Source organism: Homo sapiens, chromosome 19 (assembly GCF_000001405.40).
Source record: "Homo sapiens chromosome 19, GRCh38.p14 Primary Assembly".
Classification (NCBI taxonomy): Eukaryota; Metazoa; Chordata; class Mammalia; order Primates; family Hominidae; genus Homo; species Homo sapiens.
The window spans coordinates 58386980-58400863 of NC_000019.10; the positions used below are offsets into that span (position 1 = coordinate 58386980).

General features: G+C 54.4%; 2 protein-coding genes, 1 long non-coding RNA gene and 1 other non-coding gene across 4 annotated transcripts, besides 3 other annotated features; all 4 read left to right on the top strand.

Annotated features, from left to right (window-relative positions):
• Nucleotides 63-357: an enhancer, noted in NCBI's record as "tiled region #7872; HepG2 Activating DNase unmatched - State 1:Tss, and K562 Activating DNase unmatched - State 1:Tss". NCBI's record gives its function as "activates a minimal TATA promoter and a strong SV40 promoter by Sharpr-MPRA in HepG2 and K562 cells {active_cell/tissue: HepG2 | K562}" and the evidence as "EXISTENCE:reporter gene assay evidence [ECO:0000049][PMID:27701403]".
• On the top strand, nt 290-7825 carry RPS5 (ribosomal protein S5). Its single transcript, NM_001009.4, has 6 exons — nt 290-360; nt 1158-1266; nt 5997-6206; nt 6380-6508; nt 7518-7616; nt 7703-7825. The coding sequence occupies exons 2-6, from the start codon at nt 1159-1161 to the stop codon at nt 7769-7771; spliced, it is 615 nt and encodes a 204-aa protein (NP_001000.2). The 5' UTR covers nt 290-360; nt 1158; the 3' UTR covers nt 7772-7825.
• Nucleotides 551-600: an enhancer, noted in NCBI's record as "active region_15192". NCBI's record gives its function as "activates an Ori minimal core promoter by ATAC-STARR-seq in GM12878 lymphoblastoid cells {active_cell/tissue: GM12878}" and the evidence as "EXISTENCE:reporter gene assay evidence [ECO:0000049][PMID:35858748]".
• On the top strand, nt 6385-6467 carry MIR10394 (microRNA 10394). Its single transcript, NR_162103.1, has one exon. It is a non-coding gene; the product is annotated as a microRNA 10394 (primary transcript).
• Nucleotides 8029-8228: an enhancer, noted in NCBI's record as "active region_15193". NCBI's record gives its function as "activates an Ori minimal core promoter by ATAC-STARR-seq in GM12878 lymphoblastoid cells {active_cell/tissue: GM12878}" and the evidence as "EXISTENCE:reporter gene assay evidence [ECO:0000049][PMID:35858748]".
• Nucleotides 8677-10100, top strand: RNF225 (ring finger protein 225). Its single transcript, NM_001195135.2, has one exon. It carries the CDS (start codon nt 9111-9113, stop codon nt 10098-10100), a length of 990 nt encoding a protein of 329 aa, NP_001182064.1. The 5' UTR covers nt 8677-9110.
• A 3123-nt stretch (nt 10101-13223) lies between these two features.
• LINC02560 (long intergenic non-protein coding RNA 2560) lies at nt 13224-13700 on the top strand. Its single transcript, NR_149054.1, has one exon. It is a non-coding gene; the product is annotated as a long intergenic non-protein coding RNA 2560 (long non-coding RNA).
• The last annotated feature ends 184 nt before the right edge of the window (nt 13701-13884 follow it).

Sequence of the window (13884 nt, forward strand, 5' to 3'; positions counted from 1 at the left end):
CTTTATTAGACATGGCTGCGTTGGTCTCACGGAAATCTCTGCGCTTTTGCAGGCGCCCACAAGACAGGGCAACTACGGGGTAGCGGACATCCGCCAGGCACGCTTCTAGGGCCGCTTCTGCAACTGCGCATGCGCTTGGGCTGCACCCATTCCGTCTAGCCCAAAAGGTTCCTCTACAACCTTCCTCCGGATTGGTCTATAGGGACACGATGGCCTTTTACGCAAGCGTCACCCGTGCTGACCCGGAAGTTTTCTTCCCAGTTAAAAGTGTTGGCCCGCGGCGCGCGGCCTCTTCCTGTCTGTACCAGGGCGGCGCGTGGTCTACGCCGAGTGACAGAGACGCTCAGGCTGTGTTCTCAGGTGAGACCGCCGCGGGGCCGGGGATCCTAGGGACGGTTCATGGTCTTTCGGGGATAGTGCCCCGCGGCCTGGGCCTTTTCTCATTAGGTCTCATTTCTGTCTCTGGAAAAGAAAATGTAGAAGAAACGGGCGCGGGCCGAGTTACTCTTGACTTCTTTCTGGTGCTCCGCCGCTTCTAGCTTTTCCCCATAGCGGGGCTTGGGGAACTTGGTTTGAACTATGCGGTTGTACTCTGAGATAGGAAGTTTCCATTTCTTAGGGACACGATGCCCTCTTTTGCTCTGTGTAACTTTCCCCCCGTAATAGCAGCCCCTAGAGCCTTCATACTGTCGGTCAAGAATCGAAACCTTTGGGTTGATTGTGCCACACGGTACCTACCGTGGTCCTTGATGTCATATAACGGTCCCGCCTCACGGCCAAAGAAACAGTCCGAGACGGAACGTTGACTTGGGTCAAAGACCATGTAAATCGCGAGATTGTGGTTTGAATTACAGCCCATGCAGTGTGAGGACGTATGGCATCTGCTGAGCCATTATACCTTGGTCCCAGTGCAGCAGCTGTTGACTGGTGGCTGCCAAGTCTTGGGCCCAGGGGTTCTAGGTGAAAGACAGATGCTTCTTGCTGACAGCTGAGTAATTTTTCTAGTGCTTGAAAACACGTTCACGGCCTTTCTTGGTCCTTTGCGACCCCCCAGTTCATCACTAGATGGCGGCTAGCCTCAGAGTTGGGAATGAGTGCGCCTTTGCTCCATGCTAGCTGAGCTCTGACGTTTTTTTCCTGTCATCACCCTGTCCCAGGATGACCGAGTGGGAGACAGCAGCACCAGCGGTGGCAGAGACCCCAGACATCAAGCTCTTTGGGAAGTGGAGCACCGATGATGTGCAGATCAATGACATTTCCCTGCAGGTGAGGGGAACTTGGTGATTGGCCTTCCTGGCTGGGGGCGGACATTATTCCAGGAAGGCACACATCAAACTTGTTGCTGTGCCATTAAGTCAAGAATAGAGATCATAACAGGTAAAGAAGGGATCCCTTGACCACCACATCTACCACATCTGCTCTTACGTCCTGTTCAAAGATGACTACAACTTCTGTCATGAGAGGACTCCTTCACCAGAAGGAGCATCACATCTCACATATGGTATTTTTGTTACTGTTTTTGTAGTAAAATACATAACATCCAGTGTCATTCTTTTGCATGTGAATATCCAGTTATCCAGTACCATCTCCTAAAGAGATGTTTTTTTTCCCTCAATTGAATGGCCTTGGCCACTTGTCATAAATCAGCTGGCCGTAGTTTTTTTTTTTTTTTTTTTTTTTTGAGACGGAGTCTCACTCTGTTCCCTGGGCTGGAGTGCAGTGACGCGATCTGCCTACCGGGTTCACACCATTCTCCTGCCTCAGCCTCCTGAGTAGCTGGGACTACAGGTGCCCGCCACTGCACCTGGCTGATTTTTTTTTTTTTATTTTTAGTAGAGACAGGGTTTCACCGAGTTAGCCAGGATGGTCTCGATCTCCTGACCTCGTGATCCGCCCGTCTCGGCCTCCCAAAGTGCTGGGATTACAGGCGTGAGCCACCGCGCCCGGCCCAGATGTATGGGTTTCATTACAGACTTTCAGTTATATTCCACTGGTCTATATGTCTGTCTCTATGCCAGTACCACACTTTCTTGCTTTGTATTAAGTTTTGCAATTGGGAAGTGTGAGTTGTCCTACTTTGTTCCTACTCCGTACGGTTTTACACATACCCTTTTTTTCCCCTCCCCATGAAGGCATCATTAAGAATTTTGTGGGCCTTAAGAACTTTAGCTTTTGTGAGCCCTTCCTCCATTAAAAGAAAGTGTTTGAAATTATATTTTGTGACTGCATTGATATAAAGATGAATATAACTTGGGTTGCACTTTATTCACTTTCCTCCTCTTTTTTTTTAATCATTAAAGTTTTATCTTTGAGATAAGATCACTCTCTGTCACCCAGGCTGGAGTGCAGTGGTGTGATCACAGTTCACTGCAGCCTCAATACACCTGGGCTCAGGGGATCTTCCTGTCTTAGACTCCAACTAGCTGGGACCAAAGATGCATGCCACCAAACCTGCTACCTTTTGTTTTATAAAGAATGAAAACTTTTTTGTTGTCTGTAAAGATGTCAGGGGACTTAGGCACTATGCCTAATGGATAATTCAGCCTTGTTTTTCACTCTGAATATCTTGTAGATCTTGGCTTTTCTTTCCTTCAGGGGTTTATTTCGGGGGGTCCAAAAACATTTTAAATATTATTATTATTTTTTGTTTGTTTATTTATTTATTTATTTTTTTGAAACGGAGTTTCGCTCTTATTGCCCAGGCTGGAGTGCAATGGCACGATCTTAGCTCACCACAACCTCCGCCTCCCGGGTTCAAGCAATGCTCCCGCCTCAGCCTCCCAAGTAGCTGAGATTACAGGCGCACACCACCACGCCTGGCTAATTTTTGTATTTTTAGTAGAGACGGGGTTTCACCATGTTGGTTAGGCTGGTCTCGAACTCCTGACCTCATGATCTGCCCGGCCACATTTTAATTATTTATTTATTTTTTGAGACAGAGTTTCGTTCTTGTCGCCCAGTCTGGAGTGCAATGGTGCGATCTTGGCTCACTGCAACCTCTGCCTCCTGGGTTCAAGCGATTCTCCTGTCTCAGCCTCCCAAGTAGCGGGGATTACAGGCACATGCCACCGCACCCAGCTAATTTTTTTATTTTTAGTTGAGACAGGGTTTCATCATATTGGTCAGGCTGGTCTCTTAACTCCTGACTTCAGGTGATCAGCCTGCCTCAGCCTCCCAAAGTGCTGGGATTACAGGCATGAGCCACCACGCCTGGCGTTATTTATTTATTTGTGAGACAGAGTCTCTCTCTGCCTCCCAGGCTGGAGTGCAGTGGTGCGATCTCGGCTCACTGCAACCTCTGCCTCCCCAGGGTCATGCGACTTTCCTGCCTCAGCCTCCCGAAGTGCTGGGGTTATAGGCATGAGCCACTGCGCCCAGCCCACAAACATTTTCATTATAGGCCCAGATAATGTTTTAGACTTTGTGGGCCACACTGGCCACTGTTACTTTTTTTTTTTTTTTTTTTTTTTTTTTTTGAGATGGAGTCGCTCTGTCACCCAGGCTGGAGTGCAGTGGCACGATCTCGGCTCACTGCAACCTCCACCTCCTAGGTTCAGGTGATTTTCCTGCCTCAGCCTCCCTAGTAGCTGGAACTACAGGTGCATGCCACCACACCTGGCTAATTTTTGTCTTTTTAGTAGAGACAGGGTTTCACCATGTTGGCCAGGCTGGCCTTGAACTCCTTGATCTATTAAACGTTTGTTAAGTGCCTGTTCCACTAGGGAAATAAACATCAATGGGAGTTCACTGTATTTTAAACACCTGTGCAGGGCTCCACTGTTGGGCCAAACCCTTCCTGGGGAATTTGGTGTTTGCAATTTTTTGCTGCATAGTGAAAGCCCTGCGTGAATGCCCTTCACGAGACTGTGAGTTTTTTTTTTCTTGCAGCCAGACTATGAAATAGTACTGAGAGTTTCAGTGTCCTGTGTTCTTTTCCCATCATTCCTTGTATTTGTAGAAACAGGTATTTTGTGTATATTCTCAGAGGCAAGTGATAGAATGGCCTTGGGTACATTTTGTAATGGAACTATCAACAGCAGTCTCCTTCGAATGCACATAGCTCCTTTCTTCCCCTTTACATACTCAAGGTTAACTTTTTGGCATTTTTCTAGATTTTTGTGTGGGGATGGCTATGTAAGTATAAGAAGACTTGTTAAATGATTGTTTTAAAACTGTGGTTCTGGGCCGGGCGCCGTAATCCCAGCACTTTGGGAGACTGAGGCGGGCAGATCATCTGAGGTCAGGGGTTTGAGACCAGCCTGGCCAACATGGTGAAGCCCCGTCTCTACTAAAAATACAAAAATTAGCCTTGCATGGTGGCGTGCACCTGTTGTCCCAGCTACTTAGGAGGCTGATGCAGGAGAATCGCTTGAACCTGGGAGGTGGAGGTTGGGATGAGCTGAAATCATGCCATTGCACTCCAGCCTGGCCAACAAGAGCGAAACTCCATCTCAAAAAAAAAAAAAAAAAAAACTGGGCTGAGCATGGTGACGCATGTCTGTAATCCCAGCAACTTGGGAGGCTGAGGCAGGAGAATTGCTTCAACCCAGGAGGTGGAGGTTGCAGTGAGCCAAGATTGCAACGTTGCACTCCAGCCTGGGTGACAGAGTGAGACTCCATCTCAAAAACAAACAAACAAAAAACCCAAAAACAAAAAAGTTCTCAGCCAGGTGCAGTGGCTTATGCCTGTAATCCCATCACTTTGGGAGGCTGAGGCGGACGGATCACCTGAGGTCAAGAGTTCAAGACCAGCCTGGCCAACATGTCCAAACCCCAGCTCTACTAAAAATACAAAAATTAGCCTGGCATGGTGGCATGCACCTGTAGTCCCAGCTACTCAGGAAGCTGAGGCAGGAGAATTGCTTGAACCTGGGAGGCGGAGGTTTCAGTGAGCCAAGATTGCACCACTGCCCTCCAGCCTGGAAGGCAGTGAGACTCCATCTCAAAAAACAAAAAACCAAAAAACTGTGGTTCCTACTCTGGGGTGGTTGGTTTCCTGTCTTAGAGAACACTTAGCAATGCCTGGATACATTTTTAGATGTGAAAACTGACCGGGGTGGTGCCAGGCACTGTGGCTCATGCCTGTAATTTCAGCACTTTGGGAGCACAAGGCAGGCAGATCACTTGAGGTCAAGAGTTCGAGACCAGCCTGCTCAAAACAGTGAAACCCCTTTTCTATTAAAAGTACAAAAAATTTAGCTGGGCTTGGTGGCGCGTGCCTGTAATTCCAGCTACTCAGGAGGCTGAGGCAGGAGAATCACTTGAACCCAGGAGGCAGAAGTTGCAGTGAGCCGAGGTTGCGCCACTGCACTCCAGCCTGGGTGACAGCAAGACTCAGCCTCAAGGGGGGGAAAAAAAAAACTAGGCCAGGCGCAGTGGCTCATGCCTGTAATCCCAACACTTTGGGAGGCCAAGACAGGCGGATCACAAGGCCAGGAGTTCAAGACCAGCCTGGCCAACATAGTGAAACCTGTCTCTACTAAAAATACAAAAAAACTAGCTAGGCTTGGTGGCAGGCCCCTATAATCCTAGCTACTCGGGAGGTTGAGGCAGGAGAACCATTTGAACCTCGGAGTCGTAGGTTGCAGTGAGCTAAGATGGCACCACTGCACACCAGCCTGGGTGACAGTGAGAGACTCAAAAAAAAAAAAACTGAAGGGGTTGCCAGTGGCATACCAGATGGCTGTTAAACATCCTATAGTGTGCAGGACAGCCCCCCAGACAATTATCTGGTCCAAAATCTAGTCTCCTTAGATTCCCACTCTTCCATTACGAAGGAAGTGTACTTTTTAGCGACTTGGTAAAGTCACCTGTTCAGGGTTTTTTTCCTCATGGTGGATGGGGCTTACATCCAAGTCCCCTGTTGAGGCATACCAGGATCCCAGACAGCTGTTGGACTACCCCGAATGGGTACTTGATCTCTCCTCTGGTGTCTGGCCAACGCCCATGCTGCTCCTGACCATTTTCCCTTCATTTCCTGCTCCCTGCTGCCCCAGGATTACATTGCAGTGAAGGAGAAGTATGCCAAGTACCTGCCTCACAGTGCAGGGCGGTATGCCGCCAAACGCTTCCGCAAAGCTCAGTGTCCCATTGTGGAGCGCCTCACTAACTCCATGATGATGCACGGCCGCAACAACGGCAAGAAGCTCATGACTGTGCGCATCGTCAAGCATGCCTTCGAGATCATACACCTGCTCACAGGCGAGGTAGGGCTCTGTGGCCTGGTGAGGGCAGGCTGTGCCCTCAGTACACCCGAAAGCCCCACGGAGTGTATGTCAGGCTTATCCCCTGTGTGGTGTGGTCACTCTTGTTTTAGGTATGAGGAAAGGGGAGGAATGCATGGGGCTGGATGTCAGGCTCATATCCCCCTTCTCTCTAGAACCCTCTGCAGGTCCTGGTGAACGCCATCATCAACAGTGGTCCCCGGGAGGACTCCACACGCATTGGGCGCGCCGGGACTGTGAGACGACAGGCTGTGGATGTGTCCCCCCTGCGCCGTGTGAACCAGGTGAGCCTGGGGCTTATGCACGTGGCAGGGTGGACACAGCCACGGGAGTGGGTGGGGTCTTGCCTGGGGCAGGAAGGCTCCTCTCTGTCTGCATGTTTTACCTGCAGCATCACTTCCTCTAGGAAGCCTTCCTGGATTCCCACCCTGCATAGGGGCTGATCCAGGCTCTGGGTCCTCTTCGGGAACACATTTGGCAGAGGTCTTCTTTCTTTCCTTTGGGTGTATATTTTTACACTGTGTGTATATGTACTTTTTTTTTTTTTCTTGGACATTTTGAGAATCAGTTGCAGACATTTTGATTGTGTTTTCCCTGAACACTGCAGGTGTCTTTAAAAACAAAGATGACCTACCCCCGTCGTCACCCCCAGGAAGGAATTTATATTCACAGCAATAGTCGTTGTTCCATTTAGCATCTGTCCCCAGAATGCCAGAATGCCCTTTATAGTGGCGCATTGTCAATTGGGTCCAAGTTAAAAGCAAATATATTGCCTTGTTTTTTAGAAATAATTGAGATGGAATCTCAGGGTGTTCTTGAATTCCTGGTCTCAAATGATCCTGTCCCCTCAGCCTCCCAAAGTGCTAGGATTACAGGCATGAGCCACCACACCTGGCCGCCTTTTTTGTTGTCGTCGGTTTTTTTGTTTGTAGAGGTGGGGTTTCACCAAGTTGCTCAGGCTGGTCTCAAACTCCCTGCCAAAGTGTTCCTCCTGCCTCAGCATCCCGAAGTGTTACAGGCGCAAGCCACCGTGCCCGGCCGTCTAGCAGTTTGCTGTTGAGGCAGGTCTCAATCTCCTGTCACTGGGGACGCAACTTCAGCCTGTGTGTGTGTGTGTCTGGACACTTGCTCTTGTGACCCTCTATCTGATTGCAAATCAGGCATGATGCCACCACCTCTTGTCTCAGTGGGCCTATGGGTGACAACGTGGCTGGCAGCATCAGTTGGGAGTGGCCCCAGGGTGCTGGAGGACCGCAGTCTGTCCTTCTAGCCTGACCCCTGCTGTCTTCCTAGGCCATCTGGCTGCTGTGCACAGGCGCTCGTGAGGCTGCCTTCCGGAACATTAAGACCATTGCTGAGTGCCTGGCAGATGAGCTCATCAATGCTGCCAAGGTGGGTGAGGGCACTCCGGTTGGGGGGTCTTAAGTTGGGCATTTGTGGGGGTCCTTCAGAATTCAGAGCTGTGTGTCTCCTTGCAGGGCTCCTCGAACTCCTATGCCATTAAGAAGAAGGACGAGCTGGAGCGTGTGGCCAAGTCCAACCGCTGATTTTCCCAGCTGCTGCCCAATAAACCTGTCTGCCCTTTGGGGCAGTCCCAGCCACCTGTGCTGTTGTCTGTCTTCGGTGGGGGGATGTGGGTGGCATAGCCCTGGTGGCCTTGGGAGCTGCTCACCTTCCTGACCTGTTGGCCTGTGGGGACCTGGAAGTATTGCTGACTCAGAACCATGGCACCCCAGGGCTAGCAGGTGGGGCACTGGATGCAGGCCAGGCTGCCTGGAGTGTCCCAGCAGGTACTGGAAATGAGATGGGGTTATCCATAACTTCTGAGGGCGTGGCACATGAGATGTTGCTGTGGTCTGGGTGGATGGGTGGCTTGGGTGCCTGTGAGGTCTGGGTAGTCACAAGACCATCCTGAGAGGCTTGTCACCTTGAAGTAGCACTGGGGAGAGGAGGAAAGCTCAGCTGTTTAGGGCACACGATTTCAGACCCCTAGCTTCACCCCCCTCTTGGAGTGTGGGGTGGTTTCACACTGGCGAGGTTGTGCTCCTGGTTACCTCCCCGGCTACACTGGTTGTGGCTGCACCCTGGGCCTGCACACCCAGTTTCTGTGGGCTGTACGGGTTCCCTTCTGCCAGTGTCCATGCAGTGTCATCAGGCTGCTGGGGACAGGTTGGGACCCACCCAGGGCCACAGGCTGGTGACTCTGGTAGAAGACTCATCAGGTTCTGAAGGGTGGGGTGGGCCCAAGCCCACCCACCGTGTGCCATCACCCTTCCACCGCCCCCAACATCTGGCCAAGACAGGCTTGGTGTTCATCCTGGTGGGGCTGGCCCAGGGGGCGGGGCAGGCAGTCAAACGGGTCCAGCGGGTACCTGGGACCTGGAGGGGTGGTGCCGGTTGAGCACCCTCCCCCTGGGAGGGTACTTTTGAGCCCAGCTGCTGGCAGGCCAGGAACAGACAGGGACACGCCACTGGCCAGAGGGAGGAGGCTTCCACAGGTAGGAAGGCGCCCACAGGCTGGCTGCGGTCTGTCATTACTCTGTGGGGGGTGCCTATCTCTGCTCCTCTGTGGGTCAGGTCCTTTCCATCCCTGTCTGGGGTCCTCCCCATCTCCGTGTTCAACTGCGGTCTGTCTCTCCGTTTCCAATTCAGGAACTGGTACCCCGTGGGTCCATTCCTATCCCCAGTCTCCGCCTCGGGCCTCCCCATCTCCCCTGCTCCTCGACGCTAGCTACACCCTTCTCGGGATGGGGTGCTCTGTACTGGGGGATCCTCTCTAAAGTACAGTCCCCAGTCTTCCCTGGATTCCCTGCTGGTCTCAGAACCCGCTCCAGGCTCCACCGCCTCCTTCCCTGCCTGACCTCCTCTCCTCCCAGGTCCATCCGGATGCCCTGCCCTCGGCCGTTCTGGCTCCGCCATTCCCGGGCCCCCCAGGGCTCGGGTCCCAGCTCCCCAGGCTCGCTCTCTGCGCCCCGCTCCCCAAGCAGAGGGGAAGACCAGGAGGAGGAGGAGGAGGAGGAAGGGGACGGCAGCCCAGGCTCCGGCCCTATCCTGCCCCCCGCCTCCCCGGTGGAGTGCCTCATCTGCGTGTCGTCCTTCGACGGCGTGTTCAAGCTGCCCAAGCGCCTGGACTGCGGCCACGTCTTCTGTCTCGAGTGCCTGGCGCGCCTATCGTTGGCCACGGCGGGCGGCGGCAACGCGGTGGCCTGTCCGGTGTGCCGCGCGCCCACGCGCCTGGCCCCCCGCCGCGGACTCCCCGCGTTGCCCACGCAGTCCGGTCTCCTGCCCCGCGACGCGCGCGCACCGCCCTCTCGCCAGGGCTCCGTGCGCTTCGACCGGCGCCGCGGCCTTCTCTACCTGCGGCCGCCGCCGCCCCCGCCCGGGCCGCGCAAGGCCCGCGCCCCGCCGCCCCCGCCGCCTCTGCGCCTGGGCCGCCCGCTGTCGCGCCGCTTGTCGCTGGCCAGCCCGGCCTGGGTCTTCAACGCTGCCGTGGCGCTGGCGGTGCTGGTGGCCGCGGGCCTCGTGGTCTCGGGCGTCTACATCTTCTTCCTCATCCCGCACGCCACCTCCTCCGGCCCCCCGCGGCCCCAGCTCGTGGCGCTCGCTCCAGCGCCTGGCTTCTCTTGGTTTCCGCCGAGGCCCCCGCCGGGGTCGCCCTGGGCCCCCGCCTGGACGCCGCGCCCCACGGGCCCTGACCTGGACACGGCCCTGCCAGGAACTGCAGAAGATGCGCTGGAGCCCGAGGCGGGCCCCGAGGACCCGGCGGAGGCCGAGAGGACGCTGGACAGGCGATCGGATGGCACGTGGGGCACAGAGGCTGGCCCCGGCTGGGCCCCGTGGCCACGGGGCGCGAGGAGGCTGTGGGGCTCACAATAAGTGCGCCAGTACTGCAGTCCTGCCTCCAGGCCTGGCACCTCCGTGTTATCTGGGGCCCTTAGTAGGGCGCGCAGCACTTACCTGTTTCTCCAGATTGGGGCTTAGGGCAAGCATCCTTGGCATTGTCACCATGGGGCTGGACCCTCTCAAGGAGCAGGCACCGCAGTCGTCCCACAAGGATCCTCTGGGAACACCCCTGACCCCCATTCTTGTGGCTGTCCAGCGGAGGGTGCCCTGACCGTGACCTCTATAAGGGTCCTGCTGGGGCTTGCTCCTGCTCCGCAACCCCTACTCCGTGGGGGTGCAGTTGGAAGCATCCCTGATCCTCATCCCTTGTAGGAGTCCAGCTGTGGACGCCCCCGACTGACATCCATGCAGGTGCCCAGCCAGGGGCAGCCCCACACGGATCCTTGAACGGGTCTTGCTGGGAGTGCCCCCAGTCATCCTCACCACAGATTCCTGGGGGAGCGTCCTTGCCAGCACTGGAGGCCAAAGCACTCATCCTTCGGATTGGCCATAGGTTGCAGGGGCCCGCCTATCTTTGGAGGGCAGAGCTGCTGCTGCTATTCTTCCTTGGTCACCTCCTCCCCAACTGGCTCATTGCAGGGGACGTCCCACCACTCCACCCATCTGTGGAGTTTGTTTTCTACTGCCTGCAGGCTGGGCCTGGGTGGGCTCCAGCTGTCTACATGCTGGTCCCGGGTGTAGAGTTGCCATCCTGTACACCTGGTTGGGGCTGGGGCTCAGGCTTGAAGTAACAGGGTGTCCTGGCCAGGGCTGGGGAGGAACTTGAGCCTTAAAGACTGGCTCCCGCCCCAATCCTAAGTCCCAAACTGCTCTGGGAGCCTCCACTTCCCCCTGGGTCGTGGCTTCTAGGATCCTCCCAATATGCTGTGGTGCAGCTGTGCTTATCATGGCTCAGAGGCCAACATCACCCCAGGGGTCAGACAGAGGCAGACAATGGTGGGGGTGGGAGTCCTGGACCTCCTTGGTTAGCCAGAGGGATCCTAGTCCCTTTCCCTGGCCACCAGAGTCCCCATCACCCCCGATTAATATCTTGATGCCAGTTACTGCACTTCTTCCTCCAGGGCTCCATCTGTCCTGCCCAGCCTCCTTTCTTGTACCTCGAGGTGAACCCTGAGCCTTCCCAATAGACAGCAGCCTCCAGGGAAGGTGGCATATGGGCTCCTGTCCTCTTCCTCCCAGAAGTCTTCCTGGGTTAGTTATGGGGGTAGATGGCAGCTATTCTCTGTGCAGACTGAACCTGGGGCTTCTGTTTCCTCCCAGGCCCTGCACACCACCCCCCCAATCCTGCCTCACCTCACTCTGGGATGGAGTGCTGTGTTTTGGGAATGGGCACCCAGCATGTTCCAAAGCGAAACGTGACTTCTATGTGGCTGGAGGCTCCTGTTTGATTTGTTAACGTGTGTCCTCAGCACCAGCATACAGTAGGTGCCAAACAAGGGAGTGACAGAATTGCAGGTGACCCAGGCAGCCTGGGAATGCACCCTGGGCCCAGGACTGTCTAGAGCTAGCTCTGGTGTGAGCTGCTGCTTCCAGGTGGGAGCCAGAGGAGGAACACTAGGGAGTCCACAGTGTGTCTTCCCAGACCAGTTCTTGCCCACACCCACATGCCGATGTCACCCACAGGGGCTGGGACCAGTGTACTGGGTCACTGGGCAGCCACAGCCCAGCCTCATAGGGAAGAAACCTGGTCAGACAGCCGCAGAGTTGGTGGTCTATTCATTTTCTGTGGCTGCTGTGACAAAATACCCCCAACTTAATTATTTAGAACACGCGTTTATTTTTTTTAATTTATTTTTGAAACAGAGTCTCACTCTGTCGCCCGAGCTGGAGTGGAGTGGTATGATCTCGGCTTACTGCAACCTCCGCTTCCCGGGTTCAAGCGATTCTCCTGCCTTAGGCTCCCAAGTAGCTGGGATTACAGGCGCCCGCCACCATGCCTGGCTAATTTTTGTATTTTTAGTAGAGACGGGGTTTCACCATGTTGGCCAGGCTGATCTCAAACTCCCGGCCTCGTGATTTGCCTGCCTTGCCCTCCCAAAGTGCTGGGATTACAGGCCTGAGCCACCGCAGCCGGCCTTATTTCATTTATTTATTTATTTTTTTGAGACAGAGTCTCGCTCTGTAGCCCAGGCTAGAGTGCAGTGGCGCAACCTCGGTTCACTGCAACCTCTGCCTCCTAGGTTCAAATCATTCTCCTGCCTCAGTCTCCCAAGTAGCTGATATTACAGGCGCCCGCCACCACACCCGGCTTTTTGTATTTGTAATAGAGACGGGGTTTCACCATGTTGGCCAGGCTGGTCTTGAACTCTTGGTCTCAAGTAATCTACCCACCTCAGCCTCCCAAAGTGCTGGGATTACAGGCATGGGCCACCATGCCTGGCTAAACACACACTTCTTATCTTGCAGTTCTGCAGTCCAGAAGTCAACGATCAGTTTCACTGGGCTAAAGTTGAGTTGCCCATAGGGCTAGTTCTTTCTAGAGGCTCTAAGAGAGAATTCATTTCATTAGTTTTTCCAGCTTCTAGGGCTGCATTCCTTGGCTCCTGGCTCCTTCAAAGCCAGCAGTGCAGCATCTTCAGATCTCTCTGACCCTCCTACCTCCCTCTTTCACTTATAAGGACACTACAAGTACATAGCGCCCACCCGAATAATCCAAGATAGTCTCCCCATCTCATGATCATTAATTTAATCACACCTGCAAAGTCCATTTTGTGGTGTCAGGTAAAAGATTCACAAGTTCCAGGGATTCAGACCGGGATATCTTTGGAGGCCATTATTCTGCCTACCATAGGGTCTCAGAGATCCTCCTCATTGCTTCCCTCTCCCACCCAACCTAGGGGAGTGGGGGTGTGCAATGGTATTTCTGACCCAGACAGGCCAAGCAGGGGAGTCAGAAAGGGGCCCTTGCCTGGTGTTGCACAGAAGAGGGAGAGGATGTTCTGTGCCTGAGGGTAGACCAGGAAGGCTGCCTGGAGGAGGGAGCTGTATCCTAAAGGATGCTCAGGAGCTGGCATTGAGGCCAGTGGCATAGCCTGCACAAATACAGGAGGACCTGGGGAGGCCAGGGGTGGGGCTGGGGGTATTGGGTGGGGCTGGCCGCATTCTCCGTCTTAACCAGCTCGCTCCTAGGTGCTTTTGTGGCTTCTGCACTCTACCAGCTTGGAGCCAGGGGCCTCATTCTCTCTTGCAGTAAAATGAGGCTGATGACTGAGCCTAGGAGTTGCTGGGCATCTGGTCTGCTGATTACCACCTTGGTGCCCAATGTCTGCCTGCCTATCCACTGCTTTCAAACAAAGAGGCTGCCTGACACCACCCAGGGGGACGCCTCCCACCCTTGCCCAGCCTCAGCCAATCTCCTCTTTCTCTTCTTCAGAGCTGGAGTTGTGCCCTCCTATCCTCTCTCTGCCCACCCCATCACTGCTGTACACCCTGCCCCTTGGCACTTCGGCCCCGGACTTGCTCCTCCTGGCAGGCCTGGGTGCTTGTGAAGCCGGGTGCCAGAGGGCCCAGCACGGCACGGCCTTTGATTCTGTTTTCTGTAAATCGACGACAATAAATTCTCTTTTTCCTTCATCCACAAGTGTTTACTGAGCGCCTTCTGTGTACCAGGCCGCACCAGGGTGCGGAGCAAAGACCAACCTCAGGGAGCAGATGAGGTCCAGGCGGCTGAACCAACCGAACCATGGTTCTGGTAGCACTGCCTCCCCCGCCACCCTCAGGGGGCCCTGCTCCCCAAGCCCTTCCCAAATCCTGCCGT